This window comes from Homo sapiens, chromosome 20 (genome assembly GCF_000001405.40).
Source record: "Homo sapiens chromosome 20, GRCh38.p14 Primary Assembly".
In the NCBI taxonomy this organism is placed as follows: Eukaryota; Metazoa; Chordata; class Mammalia; order Primates; family Hominidae; genus Homo; species Homo sapiens.
The window spans coordinates 26227535-26248767 of NC_000020.11; the positions used below are offsets into that span (position 1 = coordinate 26227535).

At 37.1% G+C, this 21233-nt stretch overlaps 1 annotated feature.

Moving 5' to 3' along the window:
* Window positions 6515–7014: an enhancer, noted in NCBI's record as "H3K4me1 hESC enhancer chr20:26214685-26215184 (GRCh37/hg19 assembly coordinates)". NCBI's record gives its function as "activates a minimal SCP1, AML or CMV promoter by ChIP-STARR-seq in naive H9 embryonic stem cells {active_cell/tissue: H9 hESC(naive)}" and the evidence as "EXISTENCE:reporter gene assay evidence [ECO:0000049][PMID:30033119]".

Here is a 21233-nt window from a genome sequence, read left to right on the forward strand (position 1 = left end):
CTGCTGTGATATTAATTACACCCATGCTTATTATATGTCAGTTCAGTTTTATCTAGATTCTCCCGAAGTCAGTGCTGAACTTAGCTGTTTGAAAATGTATATATTGTAATAGTTACCAAAAAGACAAAATACAGCTAGATATTTATGCTATTTGTTTTATTTCCATCGTAGGTATATTTCCTTTTAAAATTCATATGTATCTTTTTCTAAGGATTGTCTCCATTTTCAGATGTTAAACACTTTCTCATGCACAAACCACTTAAGCAGCATAGACACAGAGTCCACGTCAGGGAATGTTACATTCAGTATAGGCACCTATTATTTGGTAACTCAGAAGTAGGAAAATGGATGTCCTCAAGCAGATGCTTTTCTTGACAGATACAAAAAATTGACAAGGATCATTGACTTACTTCCAACCCACCATTCATCCCTTTTCTCTTATTTTGACCCTAAGGGTCCCAGAGGGATAATGGCCCTACATTGTTATTTAGAATTCAGATTTCAGACTGCATTTCTTATACCATTTTTATAAGTAGTGGTTGCACACAGTTGAGACAATACTATGATATTAATCTACATTCCTCGTTAAATCGACTTTTGTCTTCCATTTTTTTAGCTTAGCTACAATTTCTCACACGGTTTCTCTAGGAAGGAACATTGGGATTTCCCAATGACTTAAACATTTAGAACTTAGTCTATTCATAAATATGAAGAGCTTGTGTAGAAAGTATAATTTACTTATACTATTATGCTTAAGAAATTATGTGAAATAATGTGAAAATAATCTTATAACATTTGTATGCTTATTTGCTGCAAGAGTCATACTTCATTGATACTTAATCATAATCTTGGACATTGCGGGTTCCAGTAACCAATATTTAATGCAAGACTGTAAACTTAATAGAGAGAAAACCTTATTTATAAATCTTCATGTATTCTTTTCTTGACAATAATAATGAGCTATGAGATTTGTATTTTAAAAGATACTTAGTAATAAAAACTTTAATTTTTAAAACTTTTATTTTTAAATTCTGCTTAATTGCATGAAAGTTAAAAGGTAATATTTAATATTAATGAGGCTTATTGATCTAAATGATGATATGCAGCTTGGGTTATACTTGCAATTATAAGATTTGCTCATTATACCAAAGCAATCTCCTTCACTCAATCTAGCTACCATAAAGGAAGCAAAATTCCCTGAATCATAATATCAAAGCATTCCATTATGTTTTCTATTAAGTTGTTTTGTTCTTTGAATCATTGTCTATTTTAATTTATCCTTTTAGAAAGAAAACAAATTACTTAACTTGCATTTCCCACTCGAAGCTTCACTGTAGCTAGACTTGGAATTGATTTCAGGCCATTTTTTAATAAATGATGATCCCCAGTGAAGGATAGAATATTTGAGCAATCAATACTGAGTAAATAAAAGGGTTTGGGTAAATAAGAGAGAAGATACCTATTTTTCTCAAATATTTTAAATATCTAATAACCTATTCCTCATCTAAAACAAGCCACGATTACTGGAAATGATGGTCAGAGGAAGGTTTTAGCAACCCTGTATAATACTACATGTCATGTTGGATCACTGTTACAGAGAAACAGTTGTCATGCTGCATTTTAGTAATTCTACACATCACCAGAGAAATAAACAACTCTTATAGACACAGAAATCCAACGTAGCTACTGTCTACATATTCTTGTTTGAGACCTTTGGTGAAAAAACTCCTATGTGTATTAAATATATTTTACATTAGTTTTATCACAAAAAAGAAAAATGAGAATTCTATTAAATGCTAATATAAATTCTGAATGGCATGAAAGAAAAATTAAAATCAAAGCTGATCTTAATTAACAAAATGTATTATCTGCTTACATGTATATACAACTATTCATATACAAAGGCACAGATGCATTTGTGGTTTTGAAAAATATCTATTTCATTTCAAAAATTCACTGAACAATATTACATATGGCAAGAAAACTGCTCTTTTTGAAGGATCTTTTAAAAAGTGTTAAACTTTATTAGATACTTCAAACTAGCAAAGCTCAACTTCATCACAATTATATAATAACACTGCACACTTTCAATTTTATCTGGAGAAATATACCTATCCCTTGAAATAAACTCTGTGAACTTCCTGCTCACAGATTTCATTTCAAGCCTTGAAAATGCAGAAAATCAATGCCAAATATACTTGCCCCAAAAGGAAAAGAAAATTTCAGGGGTGTCAGGATGTTTTATCACATAAAATACAGAATTGCAATTTGTATCTGAGCAAGCAACACACCTCCAAAAATAATATAATACTTATCACAAAATACATTCACAGATACTAGATTTGGCACAAACCACTCCATACAGCTATTGATCAAATCAGTATTGAAAGCCTTATTACAAAATCTATGGCCCTTTTCTACTCTCCAACAGACATTTCAGGATGCCACAACCTTGCAGTTCCACTCTATCATTAATTTCCCCTAAATACACTTGGCAGAAGAATGAGAAACGTCACATTTTTCATTTAATTTCTAAAGAACATCACATCCTTTAAGAATAGGTTCTTGAAATTTTAAAATGTAAAATTTAAAAACCCTAATGAAAAGAAACAAACATCCAAAAACTTTTCTTCAAAATCACAACAACTTTATATGCTACGTGTTCTTGTAAAATACCACACACACAAACTCACATGCATACCCACCCACCCAAAACACACACACACACACACACACATATAGCCTCATACCTCACACATACATATATATATATATATATAATCAATTCCAACAGAGAAAAGCCAATTTCAGAAAGATGCCTTCAATTTTGATGCATTTACTCACACCTAATTCTATTTCAATTTAACTGGTGCAGAGGCATTACAATACCCTGTAACAAAAACCTGGCAGAAGATTACAACAAATTGCTTAAACGTCAAACCAAAGACTCACATAATTTCATCATAAAGTGAAATTTCCATCTAACTCTCAAAGAATTAGAACATCCTTGCACTTGTCTTGGCCTTGTCCATTCCCCTGATGACCCCAAAAGACCACAGTCATCATCAACAGTCCCAGAGCCCACGTCCACATCCTTCTAGTGACACTTTCATGTCTTCTGGCCATCGCGTCTTAAACTCTGCATATTCAGTGGGGTGGATGTGAAAGTACAATAAATTACATTCTTAGAGAAATATATTACGACTCAAATCCCATATCTAATATGCATTGTGCATTTCTGAATTATCCTGCTTACAAGGAGGTACATTTGAAAATCATGCTTCCCTTTAGGATTGTCATATTGATGATTAATATGAAAGCTCATTCATCTTTAATCTTTATTCTAAGCATTCATCTGAATTACATTTTTAATATCATTTTCCAAAACAGGCCTTTTAACCTATGAATGTTAAAAAGTACTCCCAATATACATATTGGAGTTCAGTCAAGCAAAAAAGTTGTGTATGGACACTACTTAAGTATAACTTGATATTTAGGCAAATTAATGAATTTAACATACCATGTAATCTCTACATATATACAAAAGGACTTTTCAACACACTTCTGTAAGTTTAGCATAAATACCCTTGAAAATATTCTCAAGTTTTAAGTGGTATTCTAATTATGTCAGTAATTAACTGAATAAAGAGACTCATCATGTACAAAAGCTAATCTTGTTTACTTAAAATTGAGAGTAAAATTAATTATAGAAGTTACAAAACACTTGTAGTTTTGATTTCAGAGATATAACCCACAGGAACTTTCATATATACAAATATTATATATGACAATGTATATTTGAATGTTCATTTTGAAACTGCTCTTCATACTGACACATGAAAATACTTAAATGTCCACCAAAGCAAGGTTATTTATTCATACATTTGAATGATATACACTAGATCAAAAGAATAAACTTGAGTTGCATGTACTAATATGGATAAGTGTCAAAAATGAATAGTGAAGCAAAACTAGCAAACTGAATAATGATAAGTTCAAAACTATACCTTTCATATGTAAACATGTACAATAGTTAAAACTATACATTTTATGTTGCATAAATATATAATACAGCATAATAACGCATAAGAATGATAAACACCTTCAAGACCAAAGTTAGGAAATTACAAGACTACAATTTAAATGATTAACAAGTGGAATTTTAAATCAGAGGTTACTCCTAAATCCCAATTTTTCTACAGTTGACAAAATACGGAGCTCAGAAAAGTAAACTTAATGATTTCCAGAATGAATGCTTTATTCAAAATGCTACATAATTACAATTCTAATAAACTTGCAAGGGAATCCAGTCACCCAGAAGTTTTCTTTCTCCCTTTCTCCTACATCACAAAAGGGGAAGATTTAATTAACAACTTTGCATTACTTAACTTCAGACTCATAGTATCAGAGCTAAAGAGAAATTTAAGAAACACCTAACTCAACCTCTCCATTTTAAATGAACAAATGAGTTGAGGTTACAGTGACATTTCTGAGTTCATATGTAAAAACAGTATTTTGATGACAATGACAGTTTAAGTACTAATAAACACTCCATGAAAAGTTACTGTAATCCAGGTTATTTTACTGTGCTAAATGCCTTACATTCTTTACCCAATTTAGTTTTCACAGAAATCCTATGAACAAAACACTTTCAAAATTTACCACTTCACAGCTAAGAAAAACAAGGCTTAGAGAAATGCTACACGATCCCCTAGTCATGAGGTTAGTAGGTACTATTGTGGAGACTGAGGCAAAACAGGACGATTTCAATGCCTACCCTCTAAACAAGTAAACACTAAGCAGGAATTTAGTTCTAGATCTCCCAATTGTAGTCCAATAATCAGCCAAAAAATGATTCTGAGAAGAGGGGAAAAAAGATGTCGTGTGTATGGAGCCTCAAGTATTTGATCCCAAATACATCTTCAAATTGAAAATCATTAGAGCATAAGGCAATAGAATTATTAGTTTGTTTCTAAAATCATCAACCTTTCCCAAGTTGAACATACAAGTATATTTTATCATACATATACTATATGTATGTATAACGTGTGTTTATATAAGTATTCCTGTGGTTTATATATCTGGATTTGGAATCACAAGTGTTTTGTGATATATTAATTTTTTTTTTAAAGTCTCCCTCTGTTGCTCTGGCTGGAGTGCAGTGGTGTGACCATAGCTCACTGCAGACTCCAACTCCTAGGCTCAAGCGATACTTTTGCCTCGGCCTCTCAAGTAGCTACGACTACAGGCACACACCACCATACCCAGCTAATTTTTTTTATAGAGATGGGGTCCCACTATGTTGCTTGACTGGTCTCAAACTCCTTAGGTCAAGGGATCCTCCCACCTAGACTTCCGAAAGCAATGAGATTACAGGTGTGAGCCACCTTGTGTTTTTTGATTTCTTCGATTAATTTTACTTATAAATTTAATTACACAAGATTAATTTTGTGTACATAATGAATCTCTTTTGAGGTTTAAACTACTGATATAATTAGAGTACCACTTAACATGAGTGTAATCTCAGCATTTTGGGAAGCCGAGGCGGGTGGATCACCTGAGGTCAGGCATAAGCCACCGTGCCCAGCCTATACACATTCTTTTAACTACTACTTGCAGATATTTGTTCCGTTATAATTATAGGGGAACCACTTTCACATAGTATCAAAATATCCAGATCCACTCATCAAGGTGTAAATAATCCTTCCGTAAATTACTTTTGCAAATTTATTTTTATGTAATATTTCCTTAACTTCTCCTTACCTACAGCCAGTAGTCATTTTAAAAGGCAGAATTTTTACTATTTTATATGGAACTGAGGCAGTATTTGAAAAAAATCTCAAAACACTCTTCAGGAAGGACTGGCATCTAAAACACCAGTTCCAATACATATTTTAGTAACATTTTAAAGGACAGATGGTTTTCAAAATGTTATTATAATTAAAAAAATGTAACCTTCCTCTCTGAATTGATGTGCATGGAAAACTAATATTTCATAAATGTCAAGTTACTATGACGTATTATGTAAATGCTGCCCGTGCCATTCTATAAATATAAAAATCATAACCTTCGAACTAACTTTGGTATTAGTCAACAGTTGTGCTGATGAAAAGTAAAATCAATTCATTTAAAAAAAATTTTCTGGGGGAGGAGCCAAGATGGCCGAATAGGAACAGCTCCGGTCTACAGCTCCCAGCATGAGCGATGAAGAAGACGGGTGATTTCTGCATTTCCATCTGAGGTACCGGGTTCATCTCACTAGGGAGTGCCAGACAGTGGGCGCAGGTCAGTGGGTGCGCGCACCGTGTGTGAGCCGAAGCAGGGCGAGGCATTGCCTCACCTGGGAAGTGCAAGGGGTCAGGGAGTTCCCTTTCTGAGTCTAAGAAAGGGGTGACGGACGGTACCTGGAAAATTGGGTCTCTCCCACCCAAATACTGCCCTTTTCCGACGGGCTTAAAAAACAGCGCACCGCGAGATTATATCCCGCACCTGTCTCGGAGGGTCCTACGCCCACGGAGTCTCGCTGATTGCTAGCACAGCAGTCTGAGATCAAACTGCAAGGTGGCAGCAAGGCTGGGGGAGGGGCGCCCGCCATTGCCCAGGCTTGATTAGGTAAACAAAGCAGCCGGGAAACTCCAACTGGGTGGAGCCCACCACAGCTCAAGGAGGCCTGCCTGCCTCTGTAGGCTCCACCTCTGGGGGAGGGACACAGACAAACAAAAAGACAGCAGTAACCTCTGCAGACTTAAATGTCCCTGTCTGACATCTTTGAAGAGAGCAGTGGTTCTCCCAGCACACAGCTGGAGATCTGAGAACGGGCAGACTGCCTCCTCAAGTGAGTCCCTGACCCCTGACCCCCGAGCAGCCTAACTGGGAGGCACCCCCCAGCAGGGGCACACTGACACCTCACACGGCAGGATATTCCAACAGACCTGCAGCTGAGGGTCCTCTCTGTTAGAAGGAAAACTAACAAACAGAAAGGACATCCACACCAAAAACCCATCTGTACATCACCATCATCAAAGACCAAAAGTAGACAAAAACCACAAAGATGGGGAAAAAACAGAACAGAAAAACTGGAAACTCTAAAAAGCAGAGCGCCTCTCCTCCTCCAAAGGAACGCAGTTCCTCACCAGCAACGGAACAAAGTTGGATGGAGAAGGACTTTGACGAGCTGAGAGAAGAAGGCTTCAGACGATCAAATTACTCTGAGCTACGGGAGGACATTCAAACCAAAGACAAAGAAGTTGAAAACTTTGAAAAAAATTTAGAAGAATGTATAACTAGAATTACCAATACAGAGAAGTGCTTAAAGGAGCTGATGGAGCCGAAAACCAAGGCTCGAGAACTACGTGAAGAATGCAGAAGCCTCAGGAGCCGATGCGATCAACTGGAAGAAAGGGTATCAGCGATGGAAGATGAAATGAATGAAATGAAGAGAGAAGGGAAGTCTAGAGAAAAAAGAATAAAAAGAAATGAGCAAAGCCTCCAAGAAATATGGGACTATGTGAAAAGACCAAATCTACGTCTGATTGGTGTACCTGAAAGCAATGGGGAGAATGGAACCAAGTTAGAAAACACTCTGCAGGATATTATCTAGGAGAACTTCCCCAATCTAGCAAGGCAAGCCAATGTTCAGATTCAGGAAATACAGAGAACGCCACAAAGATACTCCTTGAGAAGAGCAACTCCAAGACACATAATTGTCAGATTCACCAAAGTTGAAATTAAGGAAAAAATGTTAAGGGCAGCCAGAGAGAAAGGTCGGGTTACCCTCAAAGGGAAGCCCATCAGACTAACAGTGGATCTCTCGGCAGAAACCCTACAAGCCAGAAGAGAGTGGGGGCCAATATTCAACACTCTTAAAGAAAAGAATTTTCAACCCAGAATTTCATATCCAGCCAAACTAAGCTTCATAAGTGAAGGAGAAATAAAATCCTTTACAAACAAGCAAATGCTGAGAGATTTTGTCACCACCAGGCCTGCCTTACAAGAGCTCCTGAAGGAAGCACCAAACATGGAAAGGAACAATCGGTACCAGCTGCTGCAAAATCATGCCAAAATGTAAAGACCATCGAGACTAGGAAGAAACTGCATCAACTAACAAGCAAAATAACAAGCTAACATCATAATGACAGGATCAAATTCACACATAACAATATTAACTTTAAATGTAAATGGACTAAATGCTCCAATTAAAAGACACAGACTGGCAAATTGGATAAAGAGTCAAGACCCATCAGTGTGCTGTATTCAGGAAACCCATCTCACGTGCAGAGACACATATAGGCTCATAATAAAAGGATGGAGGAAGATCTACCAAGCCAATGGAAAACAAAAAAAGGCAGGGTTGCAATCCTAGTCTCTGATAAAAAAGACTTTAAACCAACAAAGGTCAAAAGAGACAAAGAAGGCCATTACATAATGGTAAAGGGATCAATTCAACAAGAAAAGCTAACTATCCTAAATATATATGCACCCAATACAGGAGCACCAAGATTCATAAAGCAAGTCCTGAGTGACCTACAAAGAGACTTAGACTCCCACACATTAATAATGGGAGACTTTAACACCCCACTGTCAACATTAGACAGATCAATGAGACAGAAAGTCAACAAGGATACCCAGGAAGTGAACTCAGCTCTGCACCAAGCAGACCTAATAGACATCTACAGAACTCTCCACCCAAAATCAACAGAATATATATTTTTTTCAGCACCACACCACACCTATTCCAAAATTGACGACATACTGGGAAGTAAAGCTCTCCTCAGCAAATGTAAAAGAACAGAAATTATAACAAAGTATCTCTCAGACCACAGTGCAATCAAACTAGAGCTCAGGATTAAGAATCTCACTCAAAACCGCTCAACTACATGGAAACTGAACAACCTGCTCCTGAATGACTACTGGGTACATAACGAAATGAAGGCAGAAATAAAAATGTTCTTTGAAACCAACGAGAACAAAGACACAACATACCAGAATCTCTGGGACGCATTCAAAGCAGTGTGTAGAGGGAAATTTATAGCACTAAATGCCCACATGAGAAAGCAGGAAAGATCCAAAATTGACACCCTAACATCACAACTGAAAGAACTAGAAAATCAAGAGCAAACACATTCAAAAGCTAGCAGAAGGCAAGAAATAACTAAAATCAGAGCAGAACTGAAGGAAATAGAGACACAAAAACCCTTCAAAAAATTAACGAATCCAGGAGCTGGTTTTTTGAAAGGATCAACAAAATTGATAGACCGCTAGCAAGACTAATAAAGAAAAAAAGAGAGAAGAATCAAATAGATGCAATAAAAAATGATAAAGGGGATATCACCACCAAACCCACAGAAATACAAACTACCATCAGAGAATACTACAAACACCTCTATGCAAATAAACTAGAAAATCTAGAAGAAATGGATAAATTCCTGGACACATACACTCTCCCAAGACTAAACCAGGAAGAAGTTGAATCTCTGAATAGACCAATAACAGGAGCTGAAATTGTGGCAATAATCAATAGCTTACCAATCAAAAAGAGTCCAGGACCAGATGGATTCACAGCTGAATTCTACCAGAGGTACAAGGAGGAACTGGTACCATTCCTTCTGAAACTATTCCAATCAATAGAAAAAGAGGGAATCCTCCCTAACTCATTTTATGAGGCCAGCATCATTCTGATACCAAAGCCTGGCAGAGACACAACAAAAAAAGATAATTTTAGACCAATATCCTTGATGAACATAGATGCAAAAATCCTCAATAAAATACTGGCAAACCGAATCCAGCAGCACATCAAAAAGCTTATCCACCATGATCAAGTGGGCTTCATCCCTGGGATGCAAGGCTGGTTCAATATACGCAAATCAATAAATGTAATCCAGCACATAAACAGAGCCAAAGACAAAAACCACATGATTATCTCAATAGATGCAGAAAAAGCCTTTGACAAAATTCAACAACCCTTCATGCTAAAAACTCTCAATAAATTTGGTATTGATGGGACGTATTTCAAAATAATAAGAGCTATCTATGACAAACCCACAGCCAATATCATACTGAATGGAGAAAAACTGGAAGCATTCCCTTTGAAAACTGGCACAAGACAGGGATGCCCTCTCTCACCACTCCTATTCAAGATAGTGTTGGAAGTTCTGGCCAGGGCAATTAGGCAGGAGAAGGAAATAAAGGGTATTCAGTTAGGAAAAGAGGAAGTCAAATTGTCCCTGTTTGCAGACGACATGATTGTATATCTAGAAAACCCCATTGTCTCAGCCCAAAATCTCCTTCAGCTGATAAGCAACTTCAGCAAAGTCTCAGGATACAAAATCCATGTACAAAAATCACAAGCGTTCTTATACACCAACAACAGACAAACAGAGAGCCAAATCATGAGTGAACTCCCATTCACAATTGCTTCAAAGAAAATAAAATACCTAGGAATCCAACTTACAAGGGACGTGAAGGACCTCTTCAAGGAGAACTACAAACCACTGCTCAAGGAAATAAAAGAGGATACAAACAAGTGGAAGAACATTCCATGCTCATGGGTAGGAAGAATCAATATCGTGAAAATGGCCATACTGCCCAAGGTAATTTACAGACTCAATGCCATCCCCATCAAGCTACCAATGACTTTCTTCACAGAATTGGAAAAAACTACTTTAAAGTTCATATGGAACCAAAAAAGAGCCCACATCACCAAGTCAATCCTAAGCCAAAAGAACAAAGCTGGAGGCATCACACTACCTGACTTCAAACTATACTACAAGGCTACAGTAACCAAAACAGCATGGTACTGGTACCAAAACAGAGATATAGATCAATGGAACAGACCAGAGCCCTCAGAAATAACGCCACATATCTACAACTATCTGATCTTTGACAAACCTGAGAAAAACAAGCAATGGGGAAAGGATTCCCTATTTAATAAATGGTGCTGGGAAAACTGGCTAGCCATATGTAGAAAGTTGAAACTGGATCCCTTCCTTACACCTTATACAAAAATCAATTCAAGATGGATTAAAGACTTAAACGTTAGACCTAAAACCATAAAAACCCTAGAAGAAAACCTAGGCATTACCATTCAGGACATAGGCATGGGCAAGGACTTCATGTCTAAAACACCAAAAGCAATGGCAACAAAAGACAAAATTGACAAATGGGATCTAATTAAACTAAAGAGCTTCTGCTCAGCAAAAGAAACTACCATCAGAGTGAACAGGCAACCTACAACATGGGAGAAAATTTTTGCAACCTACTCATCTGACAAAGGGCTAACATCCAGAATCTACAATGAACTCAAACAAATTTACAAGAAAAAAACAAACAACCCCATCAAAAAGTGGGCGAAGGACATGAACAGACACTTCTCAAAAGAAGACATTTATGCAGCCAAAAAACACATGAAAAAATGCTCATCATCACTGGCCATCAGAGAAATGCAAATCAAAACCACAATGAGATACCATCTCACACCAGTTAGAATGGCAATCATTAAAAAGTCAGGAAACAACAGGTGCTGGAGAGGATGTGGAGAAATAGGAACACTTTTACACTGTTGGTGGGACTGTAAACTAGTTCAACCACTGTGGAAGTCAGTGTGGCGACTCCTCAGGGATCTAGAACTGGAAATACCATTTGACCCAGCCATCCCATTACTGGGTATATACCCAAAAGACTATAAATCATGCTGCTATAAAGACACATGCACCCGTATGTTTATTGCGGCATTATTCACAATAGCAAAGACTTGGAACCAACCCAAATGTCCAACAATGATAGACTGGATTAAGAAAATGTGGCACATATACACCATGGAATACTATGCAGCCATAAAAAATGATGAGTTCATGTCCTTTGTAGGGACATGGATGAAATTGGAAATCATCATTCTCAGTAAACTATTGCAAGAACAAAAAACCAAACACCGCATATTCTCACTCGTAGGTGGGAACTGAAAAATGAGATCACGTGGACACAAGAAGGGGAATATCACACTCTGGGGACTGTTGTGGGGTTGTGGTAGGGGGGAGGGATAGCATCGGGAGATATACCTAATGCTAGATGACGAATTAGTGGGTGCAGCGCACTAGCATGGCACATGTATACATATGTAACTAACCTGCACAATGTGCACATGTACCCTAAAACTTAAAAGTATAATAATAAAAAAAAACAAAAAACAAAAAAAAGAAAAAAAAATTTTCCATGAAACAAAAAACAAGTAACTTGTAAGAAGCATGCTAGATGAACCAAAAAATAAAGTAAGATTAACCATAAAGACATGCCATGGACTTCTCTAATCTTTTTTTGGAACACCCTTTTCATGCGTATGAGAATAAAAATTAAATATTAAATACCTTCTTTATGTATGTACTTTTACTTGTACCTATTGCTCTTTAAAGATTAAAATAACTCCTAAAGCCTGGATAGTTGAGCCCATTGTGCTCTTCGGCCCATAAAATAGATTGGATATGCAGTGAAAGAGAGATAAAACTTAAGCTTTCAGATTGGTTATGACGATGGAAACACAATTCCATTCAATAGTGTTCATCTTGGTCTTTCAAATGTTTAAGGTCACAAGGCAAAAGAGAACAGACTTTAAGAATGTCCGTGTATTACTTCTCGTCTTACCCAATAGCTACATTAGTTTAATTAGGCAAGTGTTTTGGAGTAAACAGCACTGTGAAATGTGTCGTGGAGTCCAGAGGCTCCACAACCTACCTCCAGATAGTTGTTCTGTCCGATGGAGCCTAGAATAATACCACCCCAGTTTCAGAGATGCATTACATCTACAGGTACCAACTAGGAAGGGTAGTCTTGAATTAAATGGCTTTAGAACACGTTATAAGAGCAAATTGAAGCTTCCAGGTATTAGAACCACTTCAATCACAGAGCATCTCTGGGTTCTATCTGTGGCCAGCATCAGGTATCTGTCTGCCCTCCCCGAATGGTTCCTCTCATCATGTGGATCTTCTAGATGGTTTTATTCTTCCCCAGCCAGCCAACCTGACCAACAAGCCTGGGTATATTATGTATGTATAAAGTTGGTTCTTAAATAAAGTCCATTTCTATATCTAGGTAAGTAATGTCTTCAGACTGGCAATTTCATTGTTATCTAGAAAGAGTGACTCTAGTTAGCTTCTAGTGTCAGTTTTTCTAGCAGCTTCTTTAAAAAAAATCCTCTCTGGAACAAAGCTTCCTTGCAAGCATTGCTGTTGGCAATATTCCTCTTTACTGAAATGCTTATCCGGTGAAACTTGGGCTGTGCCAGTGAGCCTGCAGGTTGACAGTCCTTTTGTTCAACTTCTCCATTATAAGCAACCTCTCTGATCACCCTTTTAAAACTAAAGATCAAAGAATCAAATGAGGTCAGGAAGTGACCAGAGCTCACAGGTCATCAATTCCTCTTCTTAGCATATTATAGCACACAGTCTAAGCCAGAAAAACACAGTAGAGCCCATTACAGCTCTCGAGTTCCAGTTATTAACATTGATTTTTTTCAATGGAAAATTTTCATTAGAAGCCCTCACATGACTCACATTCAGTAATAACTCAGATTAAGATATATACTGGAGCCTTTGTCCTTAGACTAGGTGCCACTGAGTCACCATTAAAAGGAGTCTTTTTGACCTTAGTAAATTCTCACAGGTAGGGCTTATCTCAGTCTAAACTGTACCTGGCCTTTAATAGTGATGTCCAAAGTCCTGTGTAATTCAAATTAACATTGTAATGTATATAAGTTGTATATGTAGATATAATACATGCATGTATTTACAATTATTTATTTTATTTTATTTTTTAATAAGATAAAACTTAGACGTTAAAATATGACTCTAGGCCATTGTGCTTTAGAATGAAGAGCACAGACATGGGTTGGAAATGTAAATTTTGACCCCATGTAATTTCTGTGACAAATTAATTAATGTCTTCAAGGTTCAGGCTCTATGTATGAGACAAATGAAAACAGCTCTAAGATTCCTGAAAACTCTAAAGTATTAAAATTCCACTCTGCCATTAGTTCAGATAAATCATTTGCCAATTTCCCCCACAAGAACCAGGCATCTTTAAATGGTAACATAACATGCACTTCTCTCTCCCAAAGTGTAGTGCATAAACGTTCTGCTTCTGAATAACACAGGATGCCTGGTAAGATGTGCTGTCAGGGGTATTAGTAAGGAAATGTTGTATCAAAACTTCTGCAGATGTGGCCCTGAAATACACATTGTAATAAATCCTCCAGGCCTCTCAAGTTAGGAATAACTTCTTTATAAAATTGTACTTACTTAAAATTATAGATAAACAGATTTCACAGTAACCCAATTTTTCTGATCTGAATGAAATAAGGCTCTATATTCAGACTGACCTTTCAGTGAAAAACAACTTAAAACAGTGACAAACCATCTATGTCTAAGTTTAAATGAATGTAACTAAGAGACCTGAAAACTCAGGTTTAGTAGTCATCTTCCAATAGTTTGAGAGCCCACAGGAGCCATAGAGCCCTCAAGTCTCTCCAGAGAAGCAGGGTGGTTTTTCGTCCTAAACACCATGAAATTCTTGAAGTGAGTAAAAGCATTCCTGCTTACACTGATATTCTCTCAAGTGAACTCAAAGTTAAGCCATCTCCAGCCAGACCAGATACCCTGGCCCATATCTCATTCATTAATATAGGTTGAGAAACCTTTGTTTCTTGGAAACTACATGAAGTGAATAGACTGTGGACTCCACTGGACCTAGTGGTCTATATTTAATCAATTCCCTTAACAAATATGTATCAGATGCTATCTTAGTTACGGAGCTGCAGTGGTGAGTAAGAAAGCCATAGTCCTGTACTCCTAGGGTTTTAATTCTGAAGACGAAGACAGGTACAGAAACCCAACTAAGCAAAGAGAGGAGATTATTACAAAATGTGTTCACATGCAAAGTCAAGCAAGGGACTGAATACACAACAAGGGTGTTGGGGGGAACATGAGACAGATATAATCTTAATTCAGATTATATAAGATTCATACATATAATTTTTATATATAGATATATGAATTTGGGCTGGGCGTGGTGGCTCATGCCTGTAATCCCAGCACTTTGGGAGGCCAAGGCGGATGGATCACTTGAGTCCAGGAGTTTGAGACCAGTATGATCAACATGGCAAAACCACATCTCTACTAAAAATAAAAAAGTTAGCCAGGTGTAGTGGTGCGTGCTTGTAGTCCCAGCTACTCAGGAGGCTGAGGAAGGAGAACTGCTTGAACCCCGGAGGCAGAGGTTGCAGTGAGCCAAGATTGTGCCACTGCACTCCAGCCTGGGTGACAGAGCGAGACCCTGTCTCAAAAGAAAAAGAAAAAAAGAAATACTAATTTGGATTATACAGATTCTAACTATTTCTTTCAAGTGAGAATATTTAAGCTAAGACCTGAGAATAAAAAGAGTTAGCTTTTCATACAATACAGAAAGGTCTGTCTTTTAGGAAAAAACCCACAGTGTTCAAGGACCCTAATGTATGAGCAAGATCTTGGCATGTGGAAGAAATCTGTGAATTGGATGAAATGAAAAAACTGAAAAGTAGGAATCTGGATGAAGTACAAAAAGACTAATGTGAGATGTGGCTGAAAGAGAAGGGTATGTGAAACTGTACAGGTCTTCATTAGTGATGATGAGGAACATAGGTCTTAGTCCAAGTACACCAGAAAAGTGGGAGAGTTGGAAACTGAAAGACATGTTAAGAGATCACTTTGGTGTCTATGTAGCTAACAGAGTGTAGGAAATTAAGAATTAAAGTTGGTTGACTAAGGATGAGCCTAAGAAAATAGAGTAGGTAAGAAAATAAGTGGATCTGGCTAGGCTGGGGACATTGGAAATCAAAATAAGTGGAGGAAATTACAGATATATTTGGAACCAAAATATTTTTTAAATGAATGTTGAATTGGATATTGTCAGAATATTGAGGAAGAGCCAAAAATGACTTATAAGCATCTAGCATGGCTGGCAGTGCCACTTACTGACATGTGGGAAACCAGGACATGTTACCTCTGAATTATTCGAGTGCTATTGTCATGTAAATCATCAACTCCCAGAATAAAAGTCTGGGCCAAACTCTAAAAGTGGAAATTCTTAGCTGTTTAGTAGTGTTTAGAGCTTAGAAAGAGTATGTGTGTAGAGAGAAAAGAAGAGCAATTAGGACAGAACCCTTAGAAACATCAATATTTAAAATTTGGGAAGAGAAATAGAAACAAATAAATCTTCTATTAATGGTGGGAAAATGAAGCTCAGGGTAGCTGCAAGGGAATGCTAAAAATGAACTATGGCATTTGAGGAGGAAAATGTGGAAACTGAAAGCAAGAGAGTACAAATGAACTACGGCATTTGAGGAGCAAAACGTGGAAACTGAAAGCAAGAGAGTACCGATGGATTGTGAGAGAGCAGCAGCAGCTGTGTCCTAAGGAGAGTCTCAATAAAAATGAAGGATTGTAGAAATGAGGATATCCGAGCCAATGAGCTTGCAAGGAGTGATGTCCAGGAGGCAGAATATTTGCATCTAGATCCTGGTGGTACATATCCTTATAGAAAATGTTTCAGATTTGATGACAATAAAGTGGAGGAAAGGAAAAAAGTAATGGAAATAAAGATGTCAAAAAATGGGGAATAGAGGTTTGTAATGGTCCTTTCATGTGAATGTTGAGCCACTAAAATGATGGTTGAACTTGCCTGAAGATGATATTGAGCAAAAGATCTAAAGCCTTAAAGTGGCCACTGGCAAGAAATCAAGAAGCAACCCAGGACTGATAAACTTTGTTAAAGGAAATGGAAACAACCTATCTGTGAGGCTTAATTCTTGATGGCCTGGCCAAGGTATAGCATCTGGATAAGAGTTCACTGACTCAAACTAAATTTTGTGAAGGTGAAGTACTTGTTAAAATGAAAGATCTATTTACAGAGAAATAAGTAGGCATAATGTCTGCACTATGGATAGGTGTATACTTGCTTTTTGCAAAAAGTTTGTATCTGTGAAATGCTGGTTTGCCCTGGACAGAGCTAACTTAAATAGAGGCCGGCCACGGTGGCTTGTGCCTGTAATCCCAGGACTTTGGGAGGTCAAGGCAGGTGGATCACGAGGTCAGGAGATCGAGGCCATGCTGTTTAACACAGTGAAACCCCGTCTCTACTAAAAATGCAAAAAATTAGCCAGGCGTGGTAGCAGGCGCCTGTAGTCCCAGCTACTTGGGAGGCTGAGGCAGGAGAATGACGTGAACCCGGGAGGCGGAGCTTGCAGTGAGCTGAGATTGGGCCACTGCACTCCAGCCTGAGAGACACAGCGAGACCCGTCTCAAAAATAAATAAATAAATAAATAAGTAAATAAATAAATAAATATATATAAAAAACCAAAGGATTATAAATCATGCTTCTATAAAGACATATGCACATGTATGTTTATTGTGGCACTATTCACAATAGCAAAGACTGGGAACCAACCCAAATGTCCATCAATAATAGAATGGATTAAGAAAATGTGGCACATATACACCATGGAATACTATGCAGCCATAAAAAAGGATGAGTTCATATCCTTTGTGGGGACATGTATGAAGCTAGAAACCATCATTCTCAGCAAACTATCACAAGGACAAAAAAACCAAACACCGCATGTTCTCACTCATAGGTGGGAAATGAACAACGAGAACACATGGACACAGGAAGGGCAACATCACACACTGGGGCCTGTTGTGGGATATGGGGAGAGGGGAGGGATAGCATTAGCAGATATACCTAATGTAAATGATGAGTTACTGGGTGCAGCACACCAACATGGCACATGTATACATATGTAACAAACCTGCACGTTGTGCGCATGTACCCTAGAACTTAAAGTATATTTTTAAAAAAGAGAAAACTATTAAAGAAAGACTATAATACACAGGAAACACAGACACACATACACCTGTGTGTCTATATCTTCAGTTATCACACTTTTTCTATACAGACTCCAAACAAGACAAACATGTTACATTTTATTTTAGGAGAAACTATAAGTAGAAAGAGGAGAATTTGTTAAATCAATATAGAATGTTCCTTGTTTAGCATAATTCTAAGTGTTTCTCATTAGAGGTTTGAGTAATCAATCTGTATCATATGTGGCCATGCTGGCATTTGGGAAATTCCACAAGAAACTTTTTAAATATGAATTTGGAAAAGGGAAAAGGATTTTAAAAGTGTCTTTTTTTGTTCTGCATTCTGTGTGGAACATATATTTTGTGCTACCTGCTCGTGTTAGCCTGTGATTGCCTGTGACTATGTGGAAGATATACTTTATGTGACTATGTGAGCAATAGTCTTAAAGTTAAGAAATCTAAAAATCGGTTGGCTTAGTTGCTAATTAGGTAAATTACCTTGTAATAGTTACTTAACCTCTCAAAGATTAATTATCTTAAGTGGTACATTGAAGGTTCCATTCATATTGATTTTAGTAGACTTATCCTGCTAAAAAGTAAATTTAACAACAGAAATTATTCTAGACCTCATTATTTCAGGACACCCCACACCAGCGTTTATTCCTAACTTCAAGAAATGCAGAGACATTTAAAAATTGGATTTTCTTCCAATTCAACAGAATATAACTGAACTAAATAGATTTATGTATAATTCATTATTTCAACCTTTAAGGCTATATCCAAGCAGTTTGTTTTCACCATAAAGTTATAGCTGTCTAGGCCAATAATTAAAGAGGACCTTGATAGAGAATGACAAGAGAGGATGATTGCCCTATTGTCTATCTTCCAGCTGCTTTCAATGCCCTGAAGTTTTATTCACACCCAAATATTAGAATCCTGAGAGCGCGTACTCAAATGATAAATCATGCTAATTTCTCAATAAAAGTGTTACAGAATAGTAATGCCTAGGTTTTCTTCTAGGGTTTTTATGGTTTTAGGTCTAACGTTTACCATTCAGGACATAGGCGTGGGCAAGGACTTCATGTCCAAAACACCAAAACCAATGGCAACAAAAGCCAAAATTGACAAATGGGATCTAATTAAACTAAAGAGCTTCTGCACAGCAAAAGAAACTACCATCAGAGTGAACAGGCAACCTACAACATGGGAGAAAATTTTCGCAACCTACTCATCTGACAAAGGGCTAACATCCAGAATCTACAATGAACTCAAACAAATTTACAAGAAAAAAACAAACAACCCCATCAAAAAGTGGGCGAAGGACATGAACAGACACTTCTCAAAAGAAGACATTTATGCAGCCAAAAAACACATGAAAAAATGCTCATCATCACTGGCCATCAGAGAAATGCAAATCAAAACCACTATGAGATACCATCTCACACCAGTTAGAATGGCAATCATTAAAAAGTCAGGAAACAACAGGTGCTGGAGAGGATGTGGAGAAATAGGAACACTTTTACACTGTTGGTGGGACTGTAAACTAGTTCAACCATTGTGGAAGTCAGTGTGGCGATTCCTCAGGGATCTAGAACTAGAAATACCATTTGACCCAGCCATCCCATTACTGGGTATATACTCAAAGGACTATAAATCATGCTGCTATAAAGACACATGCACCCGTATGTTTATTGCGGCATTATTCACAATAGCAAAGACTTGGAACCAACCCAAATGTCCAACAATGATAGACTGGATTAAGAAAATGTGGCACATATACACCATGGAATACTATGCAGCCATAAAAAATGATGAGTTCATGTCCTTTGTAGGGACATGGATGAAACTGGAAATCATCATTCTCAGTAAACTATTGCAAGAACAAAAAACCAAACACCGCATATTCTCACTCATAGGTGGGAATTGAACAATGAGATCACATGGACACAGGAAGGGGAACATCACACTCTGGGGACTGTTGTGGGGTCGGGGGAGAGGGGAGGGATAGCATCGGGAGATATACCTAATGCTAGATGACGAGTTAGTGGGTGCAGTGCACCAGCATGCACATGTATACATATGTAACTAACCTGCACAATGTGCACATGTACCCTAAAACTTAAAGTACAATAAAAAAAATAGATACGACTTCTAAGACATCTCAATTCTCTGTGAATTTTGATACTATAGGGAACCAGGACATGACACTAATTGAATAGATTCCTCAGAGACCTACAAGCTGTCAACTGCATAAAGATTTCTTTATGTAATGCAATGTTTTGGTTCATTGTACACAACATCAAAACACTAAGATCAGAGAGAATGCAAAAGATGTTTTAACTGATACTTAAGAACAGAATACATTTGACCCCTCAAAGCGTCCCAGGAAGAGTAATTATTCTAAACACTTTTCTATATTCCTCAGAAAACAGTAGAATCCCATAGTTAACTATCATTTAAAATAGTGGCTTAATAATTATCTTTGATGCCTAGGTGAACATTTATTTTTCTTGTCCCTATTATTATACAATAAAAGTCCAAAAATGCATAAAGTCGCCTACCTACAATGACAAAAAAAAATTGGCAGTGTGAGCCTGGGGATGGCCTGGAAGCAAGTCATGAGCACTAACGCATTTGCATGCATTTGACTGTCTAGTAAAGCAGACCAATTATACAGCTCCCAAAAGGCAGCTTAGTGATGGAAAATTCTTTCAGTAGCTTTTTAGTTTATTTGATTGATTGTGTATGACCCAGTGATAGCAGTTTGAATTTGATTGTAGATAGAAAAGAAAAAGAAAGCAAACTGATCTATATTACTTAAAAGAGCAAGTATACAGAAAACTAGGCATGCAATTATTCATTCCATACTGGTGAATATTGGTTTTTGAGAAATTAAAAAATACATTTCTTTGTATTTCCAGGTATTGATTTTAATCTTATTAAATGAAATAACCACGTGTCAACCTGGGGGAAAGACTGAGTGAAGACCATCATGATCATCTCAAAACACAAAGGAACTTGCATCCAGAATGGCTTAACTTTGAAAATAGGTACCTGAGCAAAGAAAAGGGTTGATTCATTTGATTGTTATAGATTTAGAAGAAAGCTATGGATTTAGAAGAAAACTCACTTGACTACCTAAATAGCTTTATGTCATTTCCAGCTCTCATATCTCTCTACTTTGGAAGTAGATTTTGAAACCCAGATTCTATTTTGAGGCTTCTCTTGCCAAAGGAATTGTCATGACTCTTCTCTTTACCTCACAGGACCCAACTTTAACACCATTCTAATCTTTTCTAATTCAACTTCCTATGCTTTGTTTTCATCGAGGCAGTTAATCAAATAATAAC